General features: G+C 55.3%; 2 protein-coding genes and 1 long non-coding RNA gene across 22 annotated transcripts in view, besides 9 other annotated features; 2 read left to right on the plus strand and 1 right to left on the minus strand.

The window, feature by feature from the left end:
• Window positions 1-6,901, plus strand: part of AP2A1 (adaptor related protein complex 2 subunit alpha 1) — a 40,114-nt gene extending 33,213 nt beyond the window's left edge. For 2 of the 4 annotated variants that reach the window (NM_014203.3, XM_011526556.3), the window contains exons 12-24: window positions 748-845; window positions 1,177-1,408; window positions 1,509-1,676; window positions 1,768-1,928; window positions 2,321-2,386; window positions 2,736-2,792; window positions 2,894-2,976; window positions 3,074-3,163; window positions 5,240-5,363; window positions 5,448-5,564; window positions 5,659-5,728; window positions 5,906-6,040; window positions 6,468-6,901. In NM_014203.3, the coding sequence (NP_055018.2) occupies window positions 748-845; window positions 1,177-1,408; window positions 1,509-1,676; window positions 1,768-1,928; window positions 2,321-2,386; window positions 2,736-2,792; window positions 2,894-2,976; window positions 3,074-3,163; window positions 5,240-5,363; window positions 5,448-5,564; window positions 5,659-5,728; window positions 5,906-6,040; window positions 6,468-6,545 (1,479 nt within the window). In that variant the 3' untranslated portion in view covers window positions 6,546-6,901. The remainder of the gene's footprint in view (window positions 1-747; window positions 846-1,176; window positions 1,409-1,508; window positions 1,677-1,767; window positions 1,929-2,320; window positions 2,387-2,735; window positions 2,793-2,893; window positions 2,977-3,073; window positions 3,164-5,239; window positions 5,364-5,447; window positions 5,565-5,658; window positions 5,729-5,905; window positions 6,041-6,467) is intronic. The other 2 variants (NM_130787.3, XM_011526557.4) reach the window with 1 other exon arrangement.
• Window positions 11-511: an enhancer, noted in NCBI's record as "H3K4me1 hESC enhancer chr19:50303481-50303981 (GRCh37/hg19 assembly coordinates)". NCBI's record gives its function as "activates a minimal SCP1, AML or CMV promoter by ChIP-STARR-seq in naive H9 embryonic stem cells {active_cell/tissue: H9 hESC(naive)}" and the evidence as "EXISTENCE:reporter gene assay evidence [ECO:0000049][PMID:30033119]".
• Window positions 2,345-2,860: an enhancer, noted in NCBI's record as "H3K4me1 hESC enhancer chr19:50305815-50306330 (GRCh37/hg19 assembly coordinates)". NCBI's record gives its function as "activates a minimal SCP1, AML or CMV promoter by ChIP-STARR-seq in naive and primed H9 embryonic stem cells {active_cell/tissue: H9 hESC(naive and primed)}" and the evidence as "EXISTENCE:reporter gene assay evidence [ECO:0000049][PMID:30033119]".
• Window positions 2,861-3,374: an enhancer, noted in NCBI's record as "H3K4me1 hESC enhancer chr19:50306331-50306844 (GRCh37/hg19 assembly coordinates)". NCBI's record gives its function as "activates a minimal SCP1, AML or CMV promoter by ChIP-STARR-seq in naive and primed H9 embryonic stem cells {active_cell/tissue: H9 hESC(naive and primed)}" and the evidence as "EXISTENCE:reporter gene assay evidence [ECO:0000049][PMID:30033119]".
• FUZ (fuzzy planar cell polarity protein) lies at window positions 6,653-13,340 on the minus strand. Of its 17 annotated transcripts, XR_007067015.1 has the most exons (13): window positions 12,783-13,079; window positions 12,402-12,523; window positions 12,038-12,122; window positions 11,418-11,486; window positions 11,150-11,254; window positions 9,165-9,362; window positions 8,950-9,045; window positions 8,504-8,610; window positions 8,361-8,425; window positions 8,201-8,278; window positions 7,902-7,946; window positions 7,357-7,497; window positions 6,653-7,161 (listed from the first exon to the last, which is right to left on the minus strand). XR_007067015.1 is itself a non-coding variant. In XM_047439462.1 (12 exons), the coding sequence occupies exons 1-11, from the start codon at window positions 12,891-12,893 to the stop codon at window positions 7,921-7,923; spliced, it is 1,059 nt and encodes a 352-aa protein (XP_047295418.1). In that variant the 5' UTR covers window positions 12,894-13,079; the 3' UTR covers window positions 6,653-7,182; window positions 7,902-7,920. The 17 variants fall into 17 exon arrangements, 13 of the variants coding, with proteins under 13 accessions (XP_047295418.1, XP_011525645.1, XP_011525643.1 ...); XM_047439462.1 differs by lacking the exon at window positions 7,357-7,497 and having other exon boundaries at window positions 6,653-7,182; window positions 8,201-8,275; XM_011527343.2 differs by lacking the exon at window positions 7,357-7,497.
• LOC105372435 (uncharacterized) lies at window positions 8,707-9,613 on the plus strand. The gene is made up of 2 exons (NR_187900.1): window positions 8,707-8,813; window positions 9,100-9,613. It is a non-coding gene; the product is annotated as an uncharacterized LOC105372435 (long non-coding RNA).
• Window positions 8,834-8,933: an enhancer, noted in NCBI's record as "active region_14955". NCBI's record gives its function as "activates an Ori minimal core promoter by ATAC-STARR-seq in GM12878 lymphoblastoid cells {active_cell/tissue: GM12878}" and the evidence as "EXISTENCE:reporter gene assay evidence [ECO:0000049][PMID:35858748]".
• Window positions 9,114-9,283: a silencer, noted in NCBI's record as "silent region_10936". NCBI's record gives its function as "represses an Ori minimal core promoter by ATAC-STARR-seq in GM12878 lymphoblastoid cells {active_cell/tissue: GM12878}" and the evidence as "EXISTENCE:reporter gene assay evidence [ECO:0000049][PMID:35858748]".
• Window positions 12,950-13,756: an enhancer, noted in NCBI's record as "OCT4-NANOG-H3K27ac-H3K4me1 hESC enhancer chr19:50316420-50317226 (GRCh37/hg19 assembly coordinates)". NCBI's record gives its function as "activates a minimal SCP1, AML or CMV promoter by ChIP-STARR-seq in naive and primed H9 embryonic stem cells {active_cell/tissue: H9 hESC(naive and primed)}" and the evidence as "EXISTENCE:reporter gene assay evidence [ECO:0000049][PMID:30033119]".
• Window positions 13,143-13,382: an enhancer, noted in NCBI's record as "active region_14956". NCBI's record gives its function as "activates an Ori minimal core promoter by ATAC-STARR-seq in GM12878 lymphoblastoid cells {active_cell/tissue: GM12878}" and the evidence as "EXISTENCE:reporter gene assay evidence [ECO:0000049][PMID:35858748]".
• Window positions 13,593-13,642: an enhancer, noted in NCBI's record as "active region_14957". NCBI's record gives its function as "activates an Ori minimal core promoter by ATAC-STARR-seq in GM12878 lymphoblastoid cells {active_cell/tissue: GM12878}" and the evidence as "EXISTENCE:reporter gene assay evidence [ECO:0000049][PMID:35858748]".
• Window positions 17,635-17,994: an enhancer, noted in NCBI's record as "active region_14958". NCBI's record gives its function as "activates an Ori minimal core promoter by ATAC-STARR-seq in GM12878 lymphoblastoid cells {active_cell/tissue: GM12878}" and the evidence as "EXISTENCE:reporter gene assay evidence [ECO:0000049][PMID:35858748]".

Consider the following 18,031-nt stretch of genomic DNA (forward strand, 5'->3'; position numbering starts at 1 on the left):
CCGGGGCCGTGGCGCCTGCCAGCCCGCAGCCACCCTCCTTCTCCTGCACTGCCGTGACCTCAAAATGGGGCCTCTGCCTCTCTGGGCCAACCCAGGGGACCCAGGGCTATGGTCTCATGGGCCTGATGTGAGGAGTCCCCAGGGCATGGGCATGGGGCACCCAGTGTGCAGTCCTGGCCCCCGGATCTCGGTAGTTTCCCTCTGCCCCAGGAAAGGGGCCCCACACAGTCCTGTTTTTTGTTTGTTTGTTTGTTTGTTTCTGGAGACGGAGTCTCACTCTGTTGCCCAGGCTGGAGTGGGGAGTGAGTGCCGTGGTGCGATCTCGGCTCACTGCAACCTCGGCCTCCCAGCGTCAAGCCATTCTCCTGCCTCAGCCTCCCCAGTAGCTGGTACTACAGGCACGCGCCACCACACCCAGCTAATTTGTTTGTATTTTTAGTAGAGACGGGGTTTCACCATGTTACCCAGGCTGGTTTGAAACTCCTGAGCTCAGGCAATCTGCCCGCCTCGGCCTCCCAAAGTACCAGGATTACAGGCATGAGCCACTGCTTCCGGCCCACAGCCCTGTTTTACTTCCTGTGTGAGCTTGGGCCCGTCACTCAACCTTTCTGTGACTCAGTTTCCCACCTATAACCCCACCTGCAGCAGAGCTTTCAGTGTTCCACCAGTCAGTAGGTGGCTGCACCCACCGATCCCGGAGAGGGCGCTCATTGTTGTCCTCTCCACGCCCTTCCCCACCCCACTCAGGCGCTCCAGGCCCCTGCCTGTCACGAGAACATGGTGAAGGTTGGCGGCTACATCCTTGGGGAGTTTGGGAACCTGATTGCTGGGGACCCCCGCTCCAGGTGAGGGAGCCTCAGCCTGCAGGGGAGAACACACATGCTTCTGAGGGGTCCAGGGCTTGGGGGATCCCCAGGGGTCTCAGGGCAGGCAGTGATGGGCTCCCATCCTCTCGGCCTCCACCCCAATCCACCTAGCAGGGTAAGAAAGGAGCTTAGTCCCAGGATCGTGGACAGAGTGTGACTGCGGCCCCTGTCTGGTGCCTGGGGAGGGCCACTCCCCTCCAGCAGCTTGGGGTCCTGGGACGGGTCCATCCTAGGGAGGGGCACCTCTCGAGGGGGTTTCTGGGAGAGGGCAGTGGAACCTGGCCCCGCTGACACCCACTCCTGCACACAGCCCCCCAGTGCAGTTCTCCCTGCTCCACTCCAAGTTCCATCTGTGCAGCGTGGCCACGCGGGCGCTGCTGCTGTCCACCTACATCAAGTTCATCAACCTCTTCCCCGAGACCAAGGCCACCATCCAGGGCGTCCTGCGGGCCGGCTCCCAGCTGCGCAATGCTGACGTGGAGCTGCAGCAGCGAGCCGTGGAGTACCTCACCCTCAGCTCAGTGGCCAGCACCGACGTCCTGGTCAGAGCCCTGTCCCCCCACCCCACCCCTCTTGCACACCCCCTTCCCGCCCTCCCCTCCTCCTGACCCGAACTGACCTTCCCCACCCCGACCGCGCCAGGCCACGGTGCTGGAGGAGATGCCGCCCTTCCCCGAGCGCGAGTCGTCCATCCTGGCCAAGCTGAAACGCAAGAAGGGGCCAGGGGCCGGCAGCGCCCTGGACGATGGCCGGAGGGACCCCAGCAGCAACGACATCAACGGGGGCATGGAGCCCACCCCCAGCACTGTGGTGAGTCCCCTGGGGTGGGCCCTGCCAGGGTGCCTGGGGCTGGGTCCTGCCGGGCGCCGCCTGTCCTCACCGTGACCTGCGCTTCCTACAGTCGACGCCCTCGCCCTCCGCCGACCTCCTGGGGCTGCGGGCAGCCCCTCCCCCGGCAGCACCCCCGGCTTCTGCAGGAGCAGGGAACCTTCTGGTGGACGTCTTCGATGGCCCGGCCGCCCAGCCCAGCCTGGGGCCCACCCCCGAGGAGGCCTTCCTCAGGTAGCACCCCCTGGGCCCGGGCCCCTTCTCGCGGCCACCCCCAGGGCTGTCCCTTCTCGGCCTCTGTCCCCGTTTTCCCTGAGCCCCTCCCCCGCCCCCGACTCGCTCCTCTCTCCATCCTGATGCCTTCGCCAGCCCTGGCTGCTGCCTCCCCTGCCCCAGCCTCCCTGCTCACGCCCTCCCTCTGCCACTCTGGACTCCGCCGACCCTGGCCACCCTTCGTTGTCTCCTTTCCTGTCACCGTTTCTCAGCCTGCTCTTCCTTTTCTCCTTCTCTCCTTCCCTCTTCCGTCCCTCCCTCTCTGTCTCTCTTCTGCCCTCTCGCTGCCTATGTGGAATTGGCTGCCTGCCACGCCTGTCTTCTCTTGTCTGCTCTGGGATTGGATGGCTCAGCGAGCTGGAGCCGCCTGCCCCCGAGAGCCCCATGGCTTTGCTGGCTGACCCAGCTCCAGCTGCTGAGTAAGGGGTGGCCTGGGGTGGGAGGTCGGTCGGGGGGGCGGACTCGGGTGTCCCCAGGGAGAGTTAGGGGACTGGGAGCCCTCGTCAACGGGTTCCTGATGAGCAGCAGAGGCAGGGACTTGGAGGAAAGGGAAACTTGGTGTCTGCCGATGCGGGGGCACGGGCCAGGGTTCTATTCCCATTGGAGGCCACTGCTGGATGGATGCGAGGTTCCTCGAGGCTCTGTGAGGGGTCTGGATATGTGGTTCTGGGGTTCTGTCCTTAGGGCTTGTTCTCGCACTCAATCGCTCTGGGCCTTTGCCCCTCCCCACCAAGTTCCTTCCCATCTCACTCTGCTCCATGCCTCCAGCCCAGGTCCTGAGGACATCGGCCCTCCCATTCCGGAAGCCGATGAGTTGCTGAATAAGTGAGTCCTGGGAGTGGTGGGGGAGGGGAACGGGACAGGTGCGGAGCCCAGGCCAGGTGCAGACAGGCACCCCCGTCATCTTGCGCCCCCTGCCCCCTCAGGTTTGTGTGTAAGAACAACGGGGTCCTGTTCGAGAACCAGCTGCTGCAGATCGGAGTCAAGTCAGAGTTCCGACAGAACCTGGGTGTGTCCCGGGGGACTGTGGGAATGGGTCGGAGGGAGACCTTGGGGAAGGGGTCAGAGGGACTCAGATGGAGCTCTGCCTCCCCCACCTACTGCAGGCCGCATGTATCTCTTCTATGGCAACAAGACCTCGGTGCAGTTCCAGAATTTCTCACCCACTGTGGTTCACCCGGGAGACCTCCAGACTCATATCCTCTCAGGCCCGGCCCAGCCTCCTGCCTCTCCACGTCGGCCTTCCTCACCGTGGGGAAGCCGGCTGACCCAGGTCCACACTTCTCTTCAGCCTCTCTTGGGCACGCAATTAGTTCTCTGAGATTGAGTGTCTGCATCTGTTAAGATGGGGGTGGGATTCCTTCCCCCAGGACAGGGGATGACAGTGAAGTGGTGTGTGGGAGGCTTTACTTCCAGAACTCCACCTGCTCCAGGCCTCATTTTGTCCCTGTCTGGCACCTTCCGTGTCCTGCCATCGTCCTCCACTGGGCTCCATGTCATGATGCCAGCACCGCCTGCACTCAGGAGCCAGGCCTGCGGGTCCAGACGCTGATCAGGCCTGATCTGGGCTGAGTCACTTTGCCTCTCTGGGCTCTCCTGTCCCCGCTGTGAAGTGTATGTAGACCCTCCTCTTCCTCATAGGGTTATTGTGAAGATCAGAGTGTCTGGAAAACCCTGGAAGGGCGGCTGGAGGTATCAGTCCCCCCTGCCCGTTCTCTGGGCCTCCATTGCCACATTCATGAAATTAGAAAAGCTCGACCTGAAAACTCCTTCTGGCCGGGCATGGGGGCTCACACCTGTAATCCCAGCACTGGCAGGCTGAGGCCAGTGGATCATTTGAGGTCAGGAGTTCAAGACCAGCCTGGCCAACATGGTGAAACCCCATCTCCACTAAAAATACAAAAATCAGCTGGGTGGTAGTGGCACGCGACTGTAATCCCAGCTACTCAGGAGGCTGAGACAGGAGAATCGCTTGAGCCTGGGAGGTGGTGGTTGTGGTGAGCCGAGATTGTACCACTACACTCCAGTCTGGGCGACAGTCTCAAAAAAAAGAAAAAGAAAAGAAAAAATTCCTTCTTCGGTCGGGCACGGTGGCTCACGCCTGTAATCCTAGCACTTTGAGTGGCCAAGGTGGTTGGATCACGAGGTCAGGAGATCGAGACCATTCTGGCTAACATGGTGAAACCCCTTCTCTACTAAAAATACAAAAAATTAGCCGGGCGTGGTGGTGGGCGCCTGTAGTCCCAGCTACTCGGGAGGCTGAGGCAGGAGAGTGGCGTGAACCCAGGAGGCGAAGTTGCAGTAAGCCGAGATTGCGCCGCTGCACTCCAGCCTGGGCGACAGCGAGACTCCGTCTCAGGAAAAAAAAAAAAAAAAATTCCTTCTTTCATAATTTCCAGAGGCTCGTGCAGGCAGCTCAGTGGAGGCAGTGACAAAAGAACATGAGACCCAGGCCTTCCCAGTGGGCTACTGACACGGATGCAGATGATGATAACACTAATTGCTACCATCTTTGTGTACTTACCATGTGCCGGGCACACAGACAAGTACTTGTGATGGATTCTTTTCTTTTCTTTTTTTAAATAGAGTTGAGGCCTCGCTATGTTGCCCAGGCTGGTCTCAAACTCCTGGGCTCAGTGATCCTCCCCACCTTGGCCTCCCAAAGTGCTGGATTACAGGCGTGAGCCGCCACACCCGGCTGGATTATTTCATCAACTCCTGAGGACATTTTACACATGTCCTTGTGTTGAGACAGGGCCTCACTCACCCAAGCTGGAATGCAGTGGCATGAACACTGCTCACTGCAGCCTCGAACTTCTGGGCTCAAGGCATCCTCCTGCCTCAGCCTCCCAAGTAGCTGGGACTACAGGTGCACATCACCATGCCTGGCTAATTTTTTTGTAGAGATGGGGTCTTGCCATGTTGCCCAGGCTTACACATGTCCAGAGGCTAAGAGAGGTTAAGTGGTTGCCCACAGCCACTCAGGTGGTTAAGAGCTGGGATTCAAACCCAAGTCAGCCTCCAGAGCTAATACTATTATGTCTCAGTGCGGTGTGACATTGTGGAAGGCCAAAGGAGGCACCTAGGGGGCGCCTCAGAGGTTTCCATAGTATGAACTTTGTAGTTGAACCTTGTAGGATTGAGTCCAGGATTGCACCATGGGGTCCCTCAAAGACCTGCAGGCGGGAGCTGCCGGGAGCTCTGGGGTTCCTGACCCAGACCTCCCGGGGGCCCACCTCCTCTGTCTGGCTTCCTTGACTCCTGGCGGGCACAGCTGGCTGTGCAGACCAAGCGCGTGGCGGCGCAGGTGGACGGCGGCGCGCAGGTGCAGCAGGTGCTCAATATCGAGTGCCTGCGGGACTTCCTGACGCCCCCGCTGCTGTCCGTGCGCTTCCGGTGAGTCAGGTACGGCGCGGCCGGTGGGCGGAGCCTCCGGGGTGAGGGGCGGGGCCTAATGGAGCCTCCCTTTCACCTCATCAGGTACGGTGGCGCCCCCCAGGCCCTCACCCTGAAGCTCCCAGTGACCATCAACAAGTTCTTCCAGCCCACCGAGATGGCGGCCCAGGATTTCTTCCAGCGCTGGAAGCAGCTGAGCCTGTGAGGGGTGGGGAGGGGGCGGAGCCAAAGCCGCGCCTCTGGGTGGGCGGGTCGGGCCGTCCAGGTCCCTGACTTGAACCTTCCCGGTCCCCAGCCCTCAACAGGAGGCGCAGAAAATCTTCAAAGCCAACCACCCCATGGACGCAGAAGTTACTAAGGCCAAGGTGAGAGACCGCGGGCGTGTTTGCCGGCCTATGGCTGCTTTGCTTCTCTGAGCCTCTGTTTTCCCATCTGTAAAGTGGGGCCAATTCCCATCCCCAAGGGTTTTTTGGGATCTGGGATGCCACTGTGTGGTAACTAACAGCTCTGGCACACTCTGACGGCGCCCCCCCTCCTCCCAGCTTCTGGGGTTTGGCTCTGCTCTCCTGGACAATGTGGACCCCAACCCTGAGAACTTCGTGGGGGCGGGGATCATCCAGACTAAAGCCCTGCAGGTGGGCTGTCTGCTTCGGCTGGAGCCCAATGCCCAGGCCCAGGTGAGTGCTGCTGTGGGAGGCCTGAGGCCGGCAGGAAGGCCGCCTGTCATCTCTGCGTCCACCCTTCCTGCCTCACTGTTCTTTAATTCACGTCCCCACTTTGACCCTCCTCCTCTCACATTTCTTTGTCCACTTTTACTCCTCTTTATCTATCAGTTTAATCTCCTGTCTCCAACCTCTGGTGTTCCTCTCCTCTTCCTGTCCCTCCCTGATTTCTACCTTTCCATATCCTTTCCACCTTTCTCTCATCTTTTATAATTTTCTTCCTCTCTGGCGCCTCTGTTGATTTCAGTCTTACATTTTTCTCTCCTGTGTCTTGTATCACCTTTCTGGCCCCTTTATCCTTCCTTCCTTCTATCTCCCTTGGGTCCCGACTTCCCTGGGCTCCCCATCTCCTCTGAGTTCTGCCCCCAATGCCCCCACCCAGATGTACCGGCTGACCCTGCGCACCAGCAAGGAGCCCGTCTCCCGTCACCTGTGTGAGCTGCTGGCACAGCAGTTCTGAGCCCTGGACTCTGCCCCGGGGGATGTGGCCGGCACTGGGCAGCCCCTTGGACTGAGGCAGTTTTGGTGGATGGGGGACCTCCACTGGTGACAGAGAAGACACCAGGGTTTGGGGGATGCCTGGGACTTTCCTCCGGCCTTTTGTATTTTTATTTTTGTTCATCTGCTGCTGTTTACATTCTGGGGGGTTAGGGGGAGTCCCCCTCCCTCCCTTTCCCCCCCAAGCACAGAGGGGAGAGGGGCCAGGGAAGTGGATGTCTCCTCCCCTCCCACCCCACCCTGTTGTAGCCCCTCCTACCCCCTCCCCATCCAGGGGCTGTGTATTATTGTGAGCGAATAAACAGAGAGACGCTAACAGCCCCATGTCTGTGTCCATCACCCACTGCTAGGTAGTCAAAGAAGTGGGGTGAGGGCATGCAGAGTGTGGGTGGCCAGGCTTCGCAGCCCATGGGTGGGACTCTGGGGAGACAGCAGCAGCAGCAGCCGCCGAAGCCCCAGCTGCAAGGCCACCAGACGCACTCCTGTGCCTGGTTCCTCAGTCCCCAACACCAGGTAGCAAGCTCTGGGCAGCTGGGCCTGGTAGACCTCATCTTCTGTCTTCTCTGGTGGCCCTGGCTCTGGAGAAAGAACAGGGGGCACTGACATGACAAGTAGCATGCTAACCTTTGCAAGCCACACCACATCCTGATCCCAAGTTCTGAACGCGTGGGGTCTCTGAACACAGGTTTTGGGAGCCTCCTGCCAGGGGAGGGCCTCGGGGCTCTAGCTGGCTGTCAGCAACTTGAAGACCACAATGATGTCACTCAGCTCACCCTCTTCCTCTTTCTCAGCCTTGGCCCCCATTTTCCTGGAGAAACTGTGCAGCTGCAGGTGATCCTCTTAGCAATACACATGGCGAACACGGCAGCAACACAGGAGCTCCTGTAGCCTTTTCCAGGAGCCCACCCGCCCCACTGTACAAGGCGGGTGGAGGGAAACAGGCAGGGGCCAGTGGGAGGTGGAGTCGCACAGCTAAGAAGGGGTGCAGCCCCCGAGTTGGAGCTCTTGACCACTGTGCTGCATTCATCCGGGCTTCACTGGGGTCACAGCGCCATCCCAGGTCCCTTTCTTTGTCTTTCTGGGCCCTTAAGGGTTCTACGACAATTTTTCCGTTCTAACCCAGAATCTTGTGAAATCCTCCTCCATACCCTCAGCCTATCAGCAAAGCCTGTGCTTTTGGCAGTTGTGCAGAGCGCTGGACTGTGTGGATATGGGAGCAAGATCCCCTGTGTTCAAATATGGCTCTGCCACTCATGAGCTGAGCCTCAGTTTCCTCATCTGTAATATGGGAATGATGAGGTAATGGGATAGTCCTCACCTGTGAGGATGAAGTGATTTCATTCTTTCATTACGTGTAAAGGCACTGGGAAGAGGTGAGGTCTCAGTGTTAACTATTGTTGACTATGATCCAGGAGATTCTGAAGCCAGGCGGGGACCTCCCTTCCCCTCCCTTCCCATCTGCATCAATGCTCAGATCTCAAGGAAAACCACTGCCCTATGGCCCAGTGCATACTGGGTTCCTCCGGATCCTCCAACCCCACCTCCTACTCCCATTTTGTGCGACCTGGGACTCAGTGTCCCCGCCTGCGCAGTGGGAGCACTGTGCCTTCCGCTGACCTGGTGGGAAGTGCGTGGAGGTGACCAGGGTATAGAAGTTTCGGAGGAGGCGCCGGCGCTGTTCTGGTGAAGGCTCTGCTGGGAGGAAAAGGCGGTGATGCAGAGCGCCTCCCCGGCCCACGCCCCTCCTACCCCTGCCCCTGCCCCTGTCCTCAGTCACCTTTATCCCCCAAGGGCTCCACGGTGAAGAGGCAGCGCTTCAGTTCCAGGTGGAGGAGCAGCAGCCTGTGGGAAAGGGAAGGGAATGTCATGGCTGGGGAAGAGGACATGACCCCCGACCCACTCCCTCCATCCGAGCCCTACCCGAGGATGTCTGTGTGAAGGGGGAAGCCACTGGGCAGCGCCCGGGGTCCCAACGGCAGACAGGCCCGCAACGGGTCCAGCAGTGGCTGCCACCAGCGCTCCAGAAGCTGCAGGGGGCGTGGTCATTGTGAGGTCGTCATGGGAAGGCGGGGCCGGCGGGGGAGGTCGGGGGGTGTACAAGGATAGGGGCGTGGTCAATCGGGAGGGGCGGGGCCTGCAAGAAGAGTGGAGGGCGGAGGGCAGAAGGGACTGGGGAAGGGGCGAGGCCTGGAAGAATAGAGGCAGAGGCGGGAGCGGCCGATCTTGGCGGGTAGGTGAATGACTGGAGCGCAGTCCAGAAGAGGCGGGGCTGGGGAAAGATGCCGCTGGCAGGGCAGGGTGGTGGGGAAGGGCCCTCCTGGTAGCGGGTGTCCTAAGAGCGAAAGCGGGACGTGGCGCGGGTTCACCTGTGGATACAACTGGCTGAGGGGTGGGCTCGGCCCGCAGAGTAGACACAGCTCCAGGCTCGGCAGCAGAGTCAGGGTCAGGAGCCGGTGTGGGACCTGAAGCAGGGCACAGGCTGGGGCTCATCGCGGCCCGGCCCCTTTCCATCGCAGATCCCGCCTCCTCGCGACTCGGCCCCCAGGTCACATCCCTCCGTCGGTGCCCGCCACCCACTCACCGTGGGGCTCCCGTGCGGCAGGTACACCGGGTAGTCGCGAGCGGTCTGCGGCGGCAGGGACCCCACCAGCCAGGGGAGCAGCACGGCCTCGGGCGTCCCCAGCCGCCACCAACCCTCTGTTGCTGCCACCACCCGGCCGGACACCACCAGACTGACGAAGGTCGTGCCCGCGGCCTCAGCGAACCCGGAGAGGGCTTCCTGGGTACGGGAGGCAGGAGGACTGGGAGTCAGCAGACAAGCGTAGGGGGTGGCAGCGACTTCCCAGATGGGCAGGGAATGGGGAGAAACCCACAGCCAGCCCCGAGCTCGCGCAGTGGCCATGCTCCTACGTCTCACCCTCTCTGAGCCTGAGTTCCTTCACTTTCATACGAAGTCACATCCCCAACTCACACTGTGAAGTCTGTGAAATCTGATTAAACATCTAGCCTGGGCGGGCAAACTGAAGCTAATAATGTAACCGCAGCAGCTACCGTTCATCCAGGCCTGTTACATGCCGAGTAGGCACCATTAGCAACGTAGAGAAGCCAAGTCACCTGCTGAGAGTCACATGCCTGGGAGGCCGCCACACCAGGCAAGTCCACAAGAGCAGTATTTAAGTAGAGGTAGCTAGAGATCTGAGAGGCAGGAGGAAGAACATGCACTGAGGTTGGAAACTTGTTGGGATCTCAGGACTGTGAGGTAGCTGGGTGGAAGTAGACTGTGGATTTAGCAACAGGTTAGGGGGTGCCAGGTGCCACAGGCCTTCAAACACCAGGCTGAGGAGCTGGGACCTTGTCCTGGGGGAGGTGGAGGCTGCCGGAGGGCTGTGAGCAGGAAAGGGGCAGAGCCAGCTCTGGATATAGTAGGGTTCTTCTGGTGGCCGGGTGTGATGGCTCACACCTGTCATCCCAGCACTATGGGAGGCTGAGGCGGGAGGACTGCTTGAGCCCAGGAGTTCGAGACCAGCCCGGGCAACTTAATGGAAACCCATCCCCAACCCTAGTCCATCTCTTAAAAAAAAAAATAGCTGAATGTCAGCCGGGCGCGGTGGCTCATGCCTGTAATCCCAGCACTTTGGGAGGCTGAGGCGGGTGGATCACGAGGTCAGGCGTTCAAGACCAGCCTGGCCAACATAGTGAAACCCTGTCTCTACTAAAAATACAAAAAATTAGCTGGGCCAGGCGTGGTGACCAGCGCTTATAATCCTAGCTACTCGGGAGGTTGAGGCAGGGGAATCGTTTGAACCCAGGAGGCAGAGGTTGCAGTGAGCCAAGATTGCGCCATTGCACTCCAGCCCCTGTGACAGTGTAAGACTCTGTCTCAAAAAAAAAAAAAAAAAAAAAATAGCTGAATGTGGTGGCACAGTGCCTATAGTGTCAGCTACTGGGGAGGCTGAGATGAGAGGATCACTTGAATCCAGGAGTTCAAGGCTGCAGTGAGCTATGACTGAGCCACTGTGCTCTAGCCTGGATGACAGAGCAAGACCCTGTCTCAGAAAAGAAAGAAAGATGGCCCAGGCGCAGTGGCTCACGCCTGTCATCCCAGCACTGTGGGAGGCCAAGGCAGGTGGATCACCTGAGGTAAGAAGTTCGAGACCAGCTTGGCCAACATGGTGAAACCCTGTCTCTACTAAAAATACAAAAAATTAGCCGGGCGTAGTGGTGGGCGCCTGTAATCCCAGCTGCTCGGGAAGCTGAGGCAGGAGAATTACTTGAACCCGGGAGGCGCAGGCTGCAGTGAGCCGAGATGGTGCCATTGTACTCCAGCCTGGGCAACAAGAGTGAAACTACGTCTCAAATAAAAAGAGAGAAAGAAAAGAAAAAAGAAAAGAAAGAGAAAGAAAAGAAAAAAAAAAAAGAAAAAAGATTCTTCTGGGACCAGGTGGGGATAGGACTGGAAGCTGAGAGGATAGGAGGAGGTTGGGACAATGGTCCAGAAGAAAGAGGATGAGGACTGAGCCAGGGCCAGCAGAACAGGTGTAAGAGTTTCCATAGCATCCCCAGTACCTGCAAGAGGGACCCCTCTGGAGGAATCACGCAGTCCACACACTGGGTCAGGTCCCCGATGAGCTCCGAGTCCCCCAGGAAGCTGTCGATGAGGCAATAACTGGCCTAGGAGAGGAAGAAGGGACCAGCCTAGGATTCAAGTGGGCCCAGGGTCAGACAACCAAGAACCTGTGGGACCAGGCTGCCCCAGGGGCTGCTGGGAACTGTAGTTCCCAAATGGCAGTGCCCAGGTATCCTAACTTCCCACCCTCATGTCCTGCAACCTCACCCTCAAGTCCTTCTTCAGTCTCTCCACGTTGCGGATATTGGTCAGTTCTTCAAGTCCCACAAGAAGGACCTAGAAGAATCATATAGGAGAGGATGGGCGAGGGGCTGGGACTTGAACTCCTGGGTCTGAAGGAAGAGGGGGCTGGGACTCCCACTTCTGGGTCTGGGGACTGGGGAGTCAAGATTCCTGGGTTCTGGCCGGGCGCGGAGGCTCATGCCTGTAATTCCAGCACTTTGGGAGGCCAAGGTGGGTGGATCACTTGAGGTCAGGAGTTTGAGACCAGCCTGGCCAATATGGTGAAACCCCGTCTCTACAAAAAATACAAAAATTAGCTGGGCATGGTGGCACGTGCCTGTAATCCCAGCTACTTGGGAAGCTGAGGCACGAGAATCGCTTGAACCTGGGAGGCAGAGGTTGCAGTGAGCCGAGATCAAGCCACTGCACTCCAGCCTGGGCAACAGAGCGAGACTCCGTCTCAAAACAAAACAAACAAACAAACAAAAGATTCCTGGGTTCTGAGGAAGGAAGTGTTGGTGGTCTGCACTCCTAGGTCTGAGGGAAAAGGATGCTGAGATCTCAGATTCCTGGTCTGGGGAGAAAAGAGGACTGGTGAGTCTCACCATGGCTCCAAACACCATTTGGAGTAGTCTCTCCAGCCTCAGCTCAGAGATGCCCACCTCAGATGACAGAACAATGAGGGTGATGCTGTGGAATGGAAGTGAGAAGAATGAGTCAAGGCCTGGGGAATCAGGAAGGGGTATGTTGGAGTCCGCCCATTGATCCTAGAACACCAGATACATCCTCTCTCAGACCAACCTGCCTTTCTTATAGAGAACATCAGGGATCAAAGAGGGTAACTGGCTTGCTAAAGATCCCATAGCCAAATTAACAGCTGCTTTTAGAGAGCTGGAAGGCCTCCGGGGTCATCTTCAACAGGGACTATCACCCAGGCCCTGTCCCTGTCCCACGTTCCCTCCTGGGGACCTGTCATGGAAGCTTTTCCACACCACAGTCGTGTTCTCGGTCCTCGCAGAGCTCAGCTGCACCTCCAGATTCTGCCCAAACATGTGGACTCCATTGAGGGAACCGATGACAGAGAACGGGAGCTAAGGAGGGGTTAGGGACATCAGACAAGAGCACCCCCCCATCCCCTTCCCCCTTAGGACCCAAGTGTGCCAGCTCCCAGCCCCATCCTCTTTCCATATGACCTGGCAGTGCCTCTTTGGGGAACCAGGCTTATTGGTCCATTGCCTCCTCGGTCCTACAAATTCAACACTGAAACTTCCCCAGCCCCTACTGCCTTGAAGACCCAGAGTCAAAACACCGAACCCCCTTCGGTTTAGATACAGGCGTCCAAGGCCCCACCTGCTGACGGGCGGGGGCGCCGCCGCGACTGCTCCTGCAGAATAGGGGGACCCCGCTGGAGGCCGCGAGGCACAGCAGATGCACAGTGCCGCCCGTCCCCTCCTCCCCCATTTAGGACTCCCACCGCGGTCCCTCACGTGGGGACTGTCAGTGCGGGTCTTGGAGCATGGCGGTAATCAGAGTAACTCGGCCTGTGGTCCGGAGCCGCCAGAGGGCGAGATGGGGAGCTGATTGGAAGAGGATTAACTTCCCGCCTTCTTCACCCAACTCAAACAGACCCTCAAACCCTATTCAGGCACCTCCCCCAAACCCATTAGGTTCTCTTCCGCCCTAGCCGGAAGTCACGGTACCCCTAACAAAGATGGCGGCAAATTGAATTTGCAAAGCTTTCTAGTTTCTCCGAGGAGGTAAAGAGAACCAAGAAGCCGGATTGAAGATGATGACTGCGCCAAGGCGTTGCCTAGCCACCATCCTGTAGGCTTTGATGATTTACATTCTAAACGGAAAAAACAGCTGTGCCCGGATCAAAGATTGCGATGGTCCCAAAGCATTGCCTAGCAACCACATTCCCTGTAGGTTTCCAGTATATAGTAGTAAACAATGTGCCCTACTCAAAGATGGCGACCGTGGCGGGGCGTTGCCAAGCAACCACCATTCAGCCTGATATCCATTCCAAGGCTGTAAACAGCTGTGCCCTGCTCAAAGATGGCGGCACGTCGAAGTCCGAGCACCCTCCTTGGGGCGAAATCGAGAAAAACACCATCTCCCCTACAACCTTCGAGGGTGGTTGAGTCCAGCGATCGTTGCCTAGTAACCACTAAAAAAAAGGTTGTTTTTGTTATTAGAAAAAAGAAAACAAGGAAATCCTTTATTTTCCAGAATAATAAAAATAATATCATTTCTGTAATGAATTTATACATGATAGCATACCATGTAAAATGTGAAAAATCCCTTCCCCAATTTTTTTCCTAAAATACAGTTTAACGTAGACTATTCATACGTTTTCACAAAGATGATCAATATACTAACATTTCCACACTTTCTTTTTTGCCATGAAAAAGTATGTCTATTTCATCTTAATAATGTATTTTTATAATCTATTTTATGGATGTGACAAATTGATTTGACCAATTCTGTATTGATGTACATTAGGTTGTTGAACTCCTCCAGACTAGCCAACTAGTGCTGGGACAGCATTTTACTGACTTTTTAAAATGCCCTTATGAATATTTTTATTATTTTACACAGGCAGCATTTACTTGTAATGACAAAAGTATTTATGATTCATTTTTCCCTTCCTCTTCCTTCTTGCAGATCAGCCCATCTTTCTAGCATAATTTTTAATTTTCCTACTTCCTAAAGTACATCTTTTTCTCTTTTTTTTTTTTTTGGGAGAGGGGACAGGGTCTCGTTCTGTCGCCCAAGGTGGAGTGCAGTGGAACCATCTCGGCTAACTGCAACCTCCGCCTCCAGGATTCAAGCGATTCTCCTGCCTCAGCCTCCTGAGTAGCTGGGATTACAGGTGTGCCCCCACCACGTCCAGCTAATTTTTGTAGTTTTTGTGGAGACAGGGTGTCGCCATGTTGCCCAAGCTGGTCTCAAACTCTTTGGCTCAAATGATCCACCCACCTCAGCCTCTCAAAGTGCTGGGACTACAGGCAGGAGCCACCATGCCTGGCCTAGGTACCATTTTAATCTTCCTTCTTGCCTATTGATATTTTTTTTCCTTTCTCTGGATTACTTTTATCTTCCTTACAACTTTATTAAAATGTTAGTTACACAGGCATAAAAGAGGGGGCTGCTCTAGATGAAAAGAAACTTGAGACATAATGTCTAAATATGTGTGTGGTCTTTGTTTGGATCCTGATACAAATAAACCAACTGTAAAAACACATTTTGAGACAATTGGAACGTTTGATTACACACTTACTGTTGGATGATACTAAGAAGTTAATTTTGTTACAGGTAACAATGGCATACTAGTAATGTAAGAAAGTGTTCATAAAATTGGAAAGATGCCTGCCAAGCACACAGGAGTAAAATCATATGATTGTATGGATTTGAAGGCTTCAGCAGGCCAGGCGCGGCGGCTTACGCCTGTAATCCCAGCACTTTGGGAGGCCAAGGTGGGCGGGTCACCTGAGGTCTGGAGTTCGAGACCAGCCTGACCAACATGGAGAAACCCCGGCTCTACTAAAAATACAAAATTAGCTGGGCGTGGTGGCGCATGCCTGTAAACTCAGCTACTCGGGAGGCTGAGGCAGGATAATCGCTTGAACCCAGGAGGTGGAGGCTGCCGTGAGCCGAGACTGTGCCATTGCACTGCAGCCTGGGCAACAAGAACAAAACTCCATCTCAAAAAAAAAAAAAAAAAAAAAGCTTCAGCAAATGAGACTGTCTCAAAAAAAAAAGGGCTTCCGCAGGCTCACTGCCTATAATCCGGGCACTCTAGGAGGCCAAAACGGGTGGATCACCTGAGGTCAGGAGTTTGAGACCAGCCTGGCCAACATGGTAAAACCCTGTCTCTAACAAAAATACAAAAATTTGCCTGCGAGGTGGCACACACCTGTAGTCCCAGCTACTGGGGAGGCAGAGGCAGGAGAATCGGTGGAACCAGGGAGGCAGAGGCTGCAGCGAGCCGACACTGCGCCACTGCACTCCAGTCTGGGCGACAGAGCGAGATTTTGTCAAAAAAAAAATAATAAAATAAAAAAAAATAAAAATAAAAATAAAAGATAAAAGAAAAATAGAAACCCAATAAAAAATAATTTTAAATGATAAAGGTAAAAACCTTTATCATTAGGCTTTCTGTAAGTACTTTTCAATTGGTGATTATTATTATTATTATTACTTTTTTTTTTTTGAGACAGCGCCTCGCTCCGTCCCCCAGGCTGGAGTGCAGTGGCGCGATCTCTGTTCACTGCAAGCTCCGCCTTCCGGGTTCACGCCATTCTCCTGCCTCAGCCTCCGGAGTAGCTGGGACTACAGGCGCCCGCCACCACGCCCCGCTAATTTTTTTTTTTTTTTTTTTGGATTTTCAGTAGAGACGGGGTTTCACCGTGTTAGCAAGGATGGTCTCGATCTCCTGACCTCGTGATCTGCCCGCCTTGGCCTCCCAAAGTGCTGGGATTGCAAGCATGAGCCACTGCGCCCGGCCTGTTTTTTTTGTTTTTTTTGTTTTTTTTTTGAGACAGTCTCGCTCTGTCGCCCAGGCTGGAGTGCAGTGGCGTGATCTCGGCTCACTGCAACCTCTGCCTCCCGGGTTCAAGCGATTCTCCTTGCCTCAGCCTCTCGAGTTGCTGGGATTACAGGTGGGCACCACGACGCCCAGTGATACTGACCTCGTGATGCGCCCGCCTCTACCTCCCAAAGTGCTGGAATTACAGGCATGAGCCATCTCGCCCGGCCGAAGATTATGTTTTAAAATATTTACTGGCCATTCAAAATTTTGTGTGTGTGTTTGTGTGAAACTAGTCAGGTTTCTTTTTATTTATTTATTTTTATTTTTTTTGAGACGGAGTCTAACTCTGCCGCCCAGGCTGGAATGCAGTGGCACAATCTCAGTTGACTGCAACCTCCGCCTCCCGGGTTCAGGAGAATCTCCTGACTCAGCCTCCCAAGTAGCTGGGATTACAGACGCCCACCAGGACGGCTAATTTTTTTATTTTTAGTAGTTAGAAGGAGTTTCACCATGTTGGCCAGGCTGGTCTTGAACCCCTTACCTCGGGTGATCTGCCCGCCTTGGCCTCCCAAAGTGCTGGGATTACAAGCGTGAGCCACGGCGTCCGGCCCTGGTCAGGTTTCTTTCTATTAAAACAAATATAAAGTGGCAGGGCACGATGGCTAACACCTGGGATCGCTTTAGCCGAGGAGTTTGAGACACGCCAGAGCAACACAGTGAGACCCCATCTCTACAAAAAATTTAAAAATTAGCTGGAAGTGGTAGTGCGCGGCTGTGGTCCCAGCTGCTCCACAGGCTGAAGAGTGGCTCCAGTGCGAGTAGAGGCTGCCGTGAGCCAAGATTGGGCCACTGCACTTCAACCTGCACAACAGAAAGAGACCCTGCCTCAAAAAATAAAAATTAAAATTAAAAGATAATAGTAATGAAGTGTTTCTATTTTTCTATATTGTTATTCATCAGTAAGATTTATTTGCGTAGTACATTTCTGTCAACAAACACGCTAGAAAGATTTTCCCAGTTGGCCGTATATTTTTCAACTTGGTTTATACAGTCTTTTGGGAAAAATTAATGAAGACTACGTTTTCTAACTTTGCTGTAGTGCTAAGAAACTCCATGGCAGTCATTAAGATTTTTTCCCTTCAGATAGTTTTCGGGTTTCATTTGTTGCACTTACATTTTTAATCCACCTGGAATGTATTTACGTTCTAAGCCAGTTTCTGGCTCCTCTCCCAGAAAACAACGCTCAGGTGTTGCTTAGCAACCCGCACTTGGTTTGGTGTTCGGCTTCTTTTCGGGGGGGAAAACAACTGCCCTCCCTTCCAAGTTGAGGACGACCTTAAAGCGTCGCCTAGTAACCTCGTTTCCGCCGATGTGATTGGATCCTTCTCGCGTCCCTCCCCTAGTCCCCACGCCCGAAAGAACAGAACCAGAAACTTAATCTAACGGTTACAAAACAAGGGCAGCGGGCCCGGCGCGGTGGCTCACGCCTGTAATCTCAGCACTTTGGGAAGCCAAGGCGGGCGAATCACTTGAGGTCAGGAGTTCGAGAACAGCCTGGCCCACAGGGTGAAACTCTTTCTCTACTAAAAATACAAAAATTAGCGGGGCGTGGTTGCGGGCACCTGTAATCCCAGCTACTCGGGAGGCTGAGGCAGGAGAATCGCTTGAACCCGGGAAGCGGAGGTTGTAGTGAGCCGAGATCGCGCCACTGCACTCCAGCCTGGGCGACAGGGCGAGACTCCCGTTTCGAAAAAACAAACAAACAAAAAACAAAACACAAAAACGAAAACAAGGGCAGCGTACGCGTTGCATAGCAACCAGGTCTCCTGCCCCTCCCTTTGAGACAAGAGGCGGACCTGGACGCCCCGCTCAAAGATGGCGGCTGACTGAGCCGCTTTCAATTTATTTAGCTTTTGACAATAATTCCGTCTAACCCATCAGGCCCCTAGAAGGGCTAACTATGCCCTTTCTGAGTCTTCCACGCGGTGGGGGCGAAGGAGGATGGAGCTAGAACGAAGCCTCAGCGCGTGCCCCGCACAAACATGGCAGCATTCCCAGCAGCCCTAAA

The sequence above is a fragment of the Homo sapiens genome, chromosome 19, assembly GCF_000001405.40.
Source record: "Homo sapiens chromosome 19, GRCh38.p14 Primary Assembly".
Classification (NCBI taxonomy): domain Eukaryota; kingdom Metazoa; phylum Chordata; class Mammalia; order Primates; family Hominidae; genus Homo; species Homo sapiens.

Bases quoted from the DNA above. Each gene is read 5' to 3' on its own strand.
- FUZ (NM_001352262.2), bottom strand. From the start codon at position 12,893: ATGGGGGAGGAGGGGACGGGCGGCACTGTGCATCTGCTGTGCCTCGCG. The intron at 11,255-11,417 runs GTGAGGTTGCAG...TTCCTCTCCTAG, and splicing joins GACTGAAGAAGGACTTGAGG to GCCAGTTATTGCCTCATCGA. The intron at 7,162-8,200 runs GTCAGCGGAAGG...TTCTTTCTCCAG, and splicing joins CTCCACGCACTTCCCACCAG to AGCCAGGGCCACCAGAGAAG.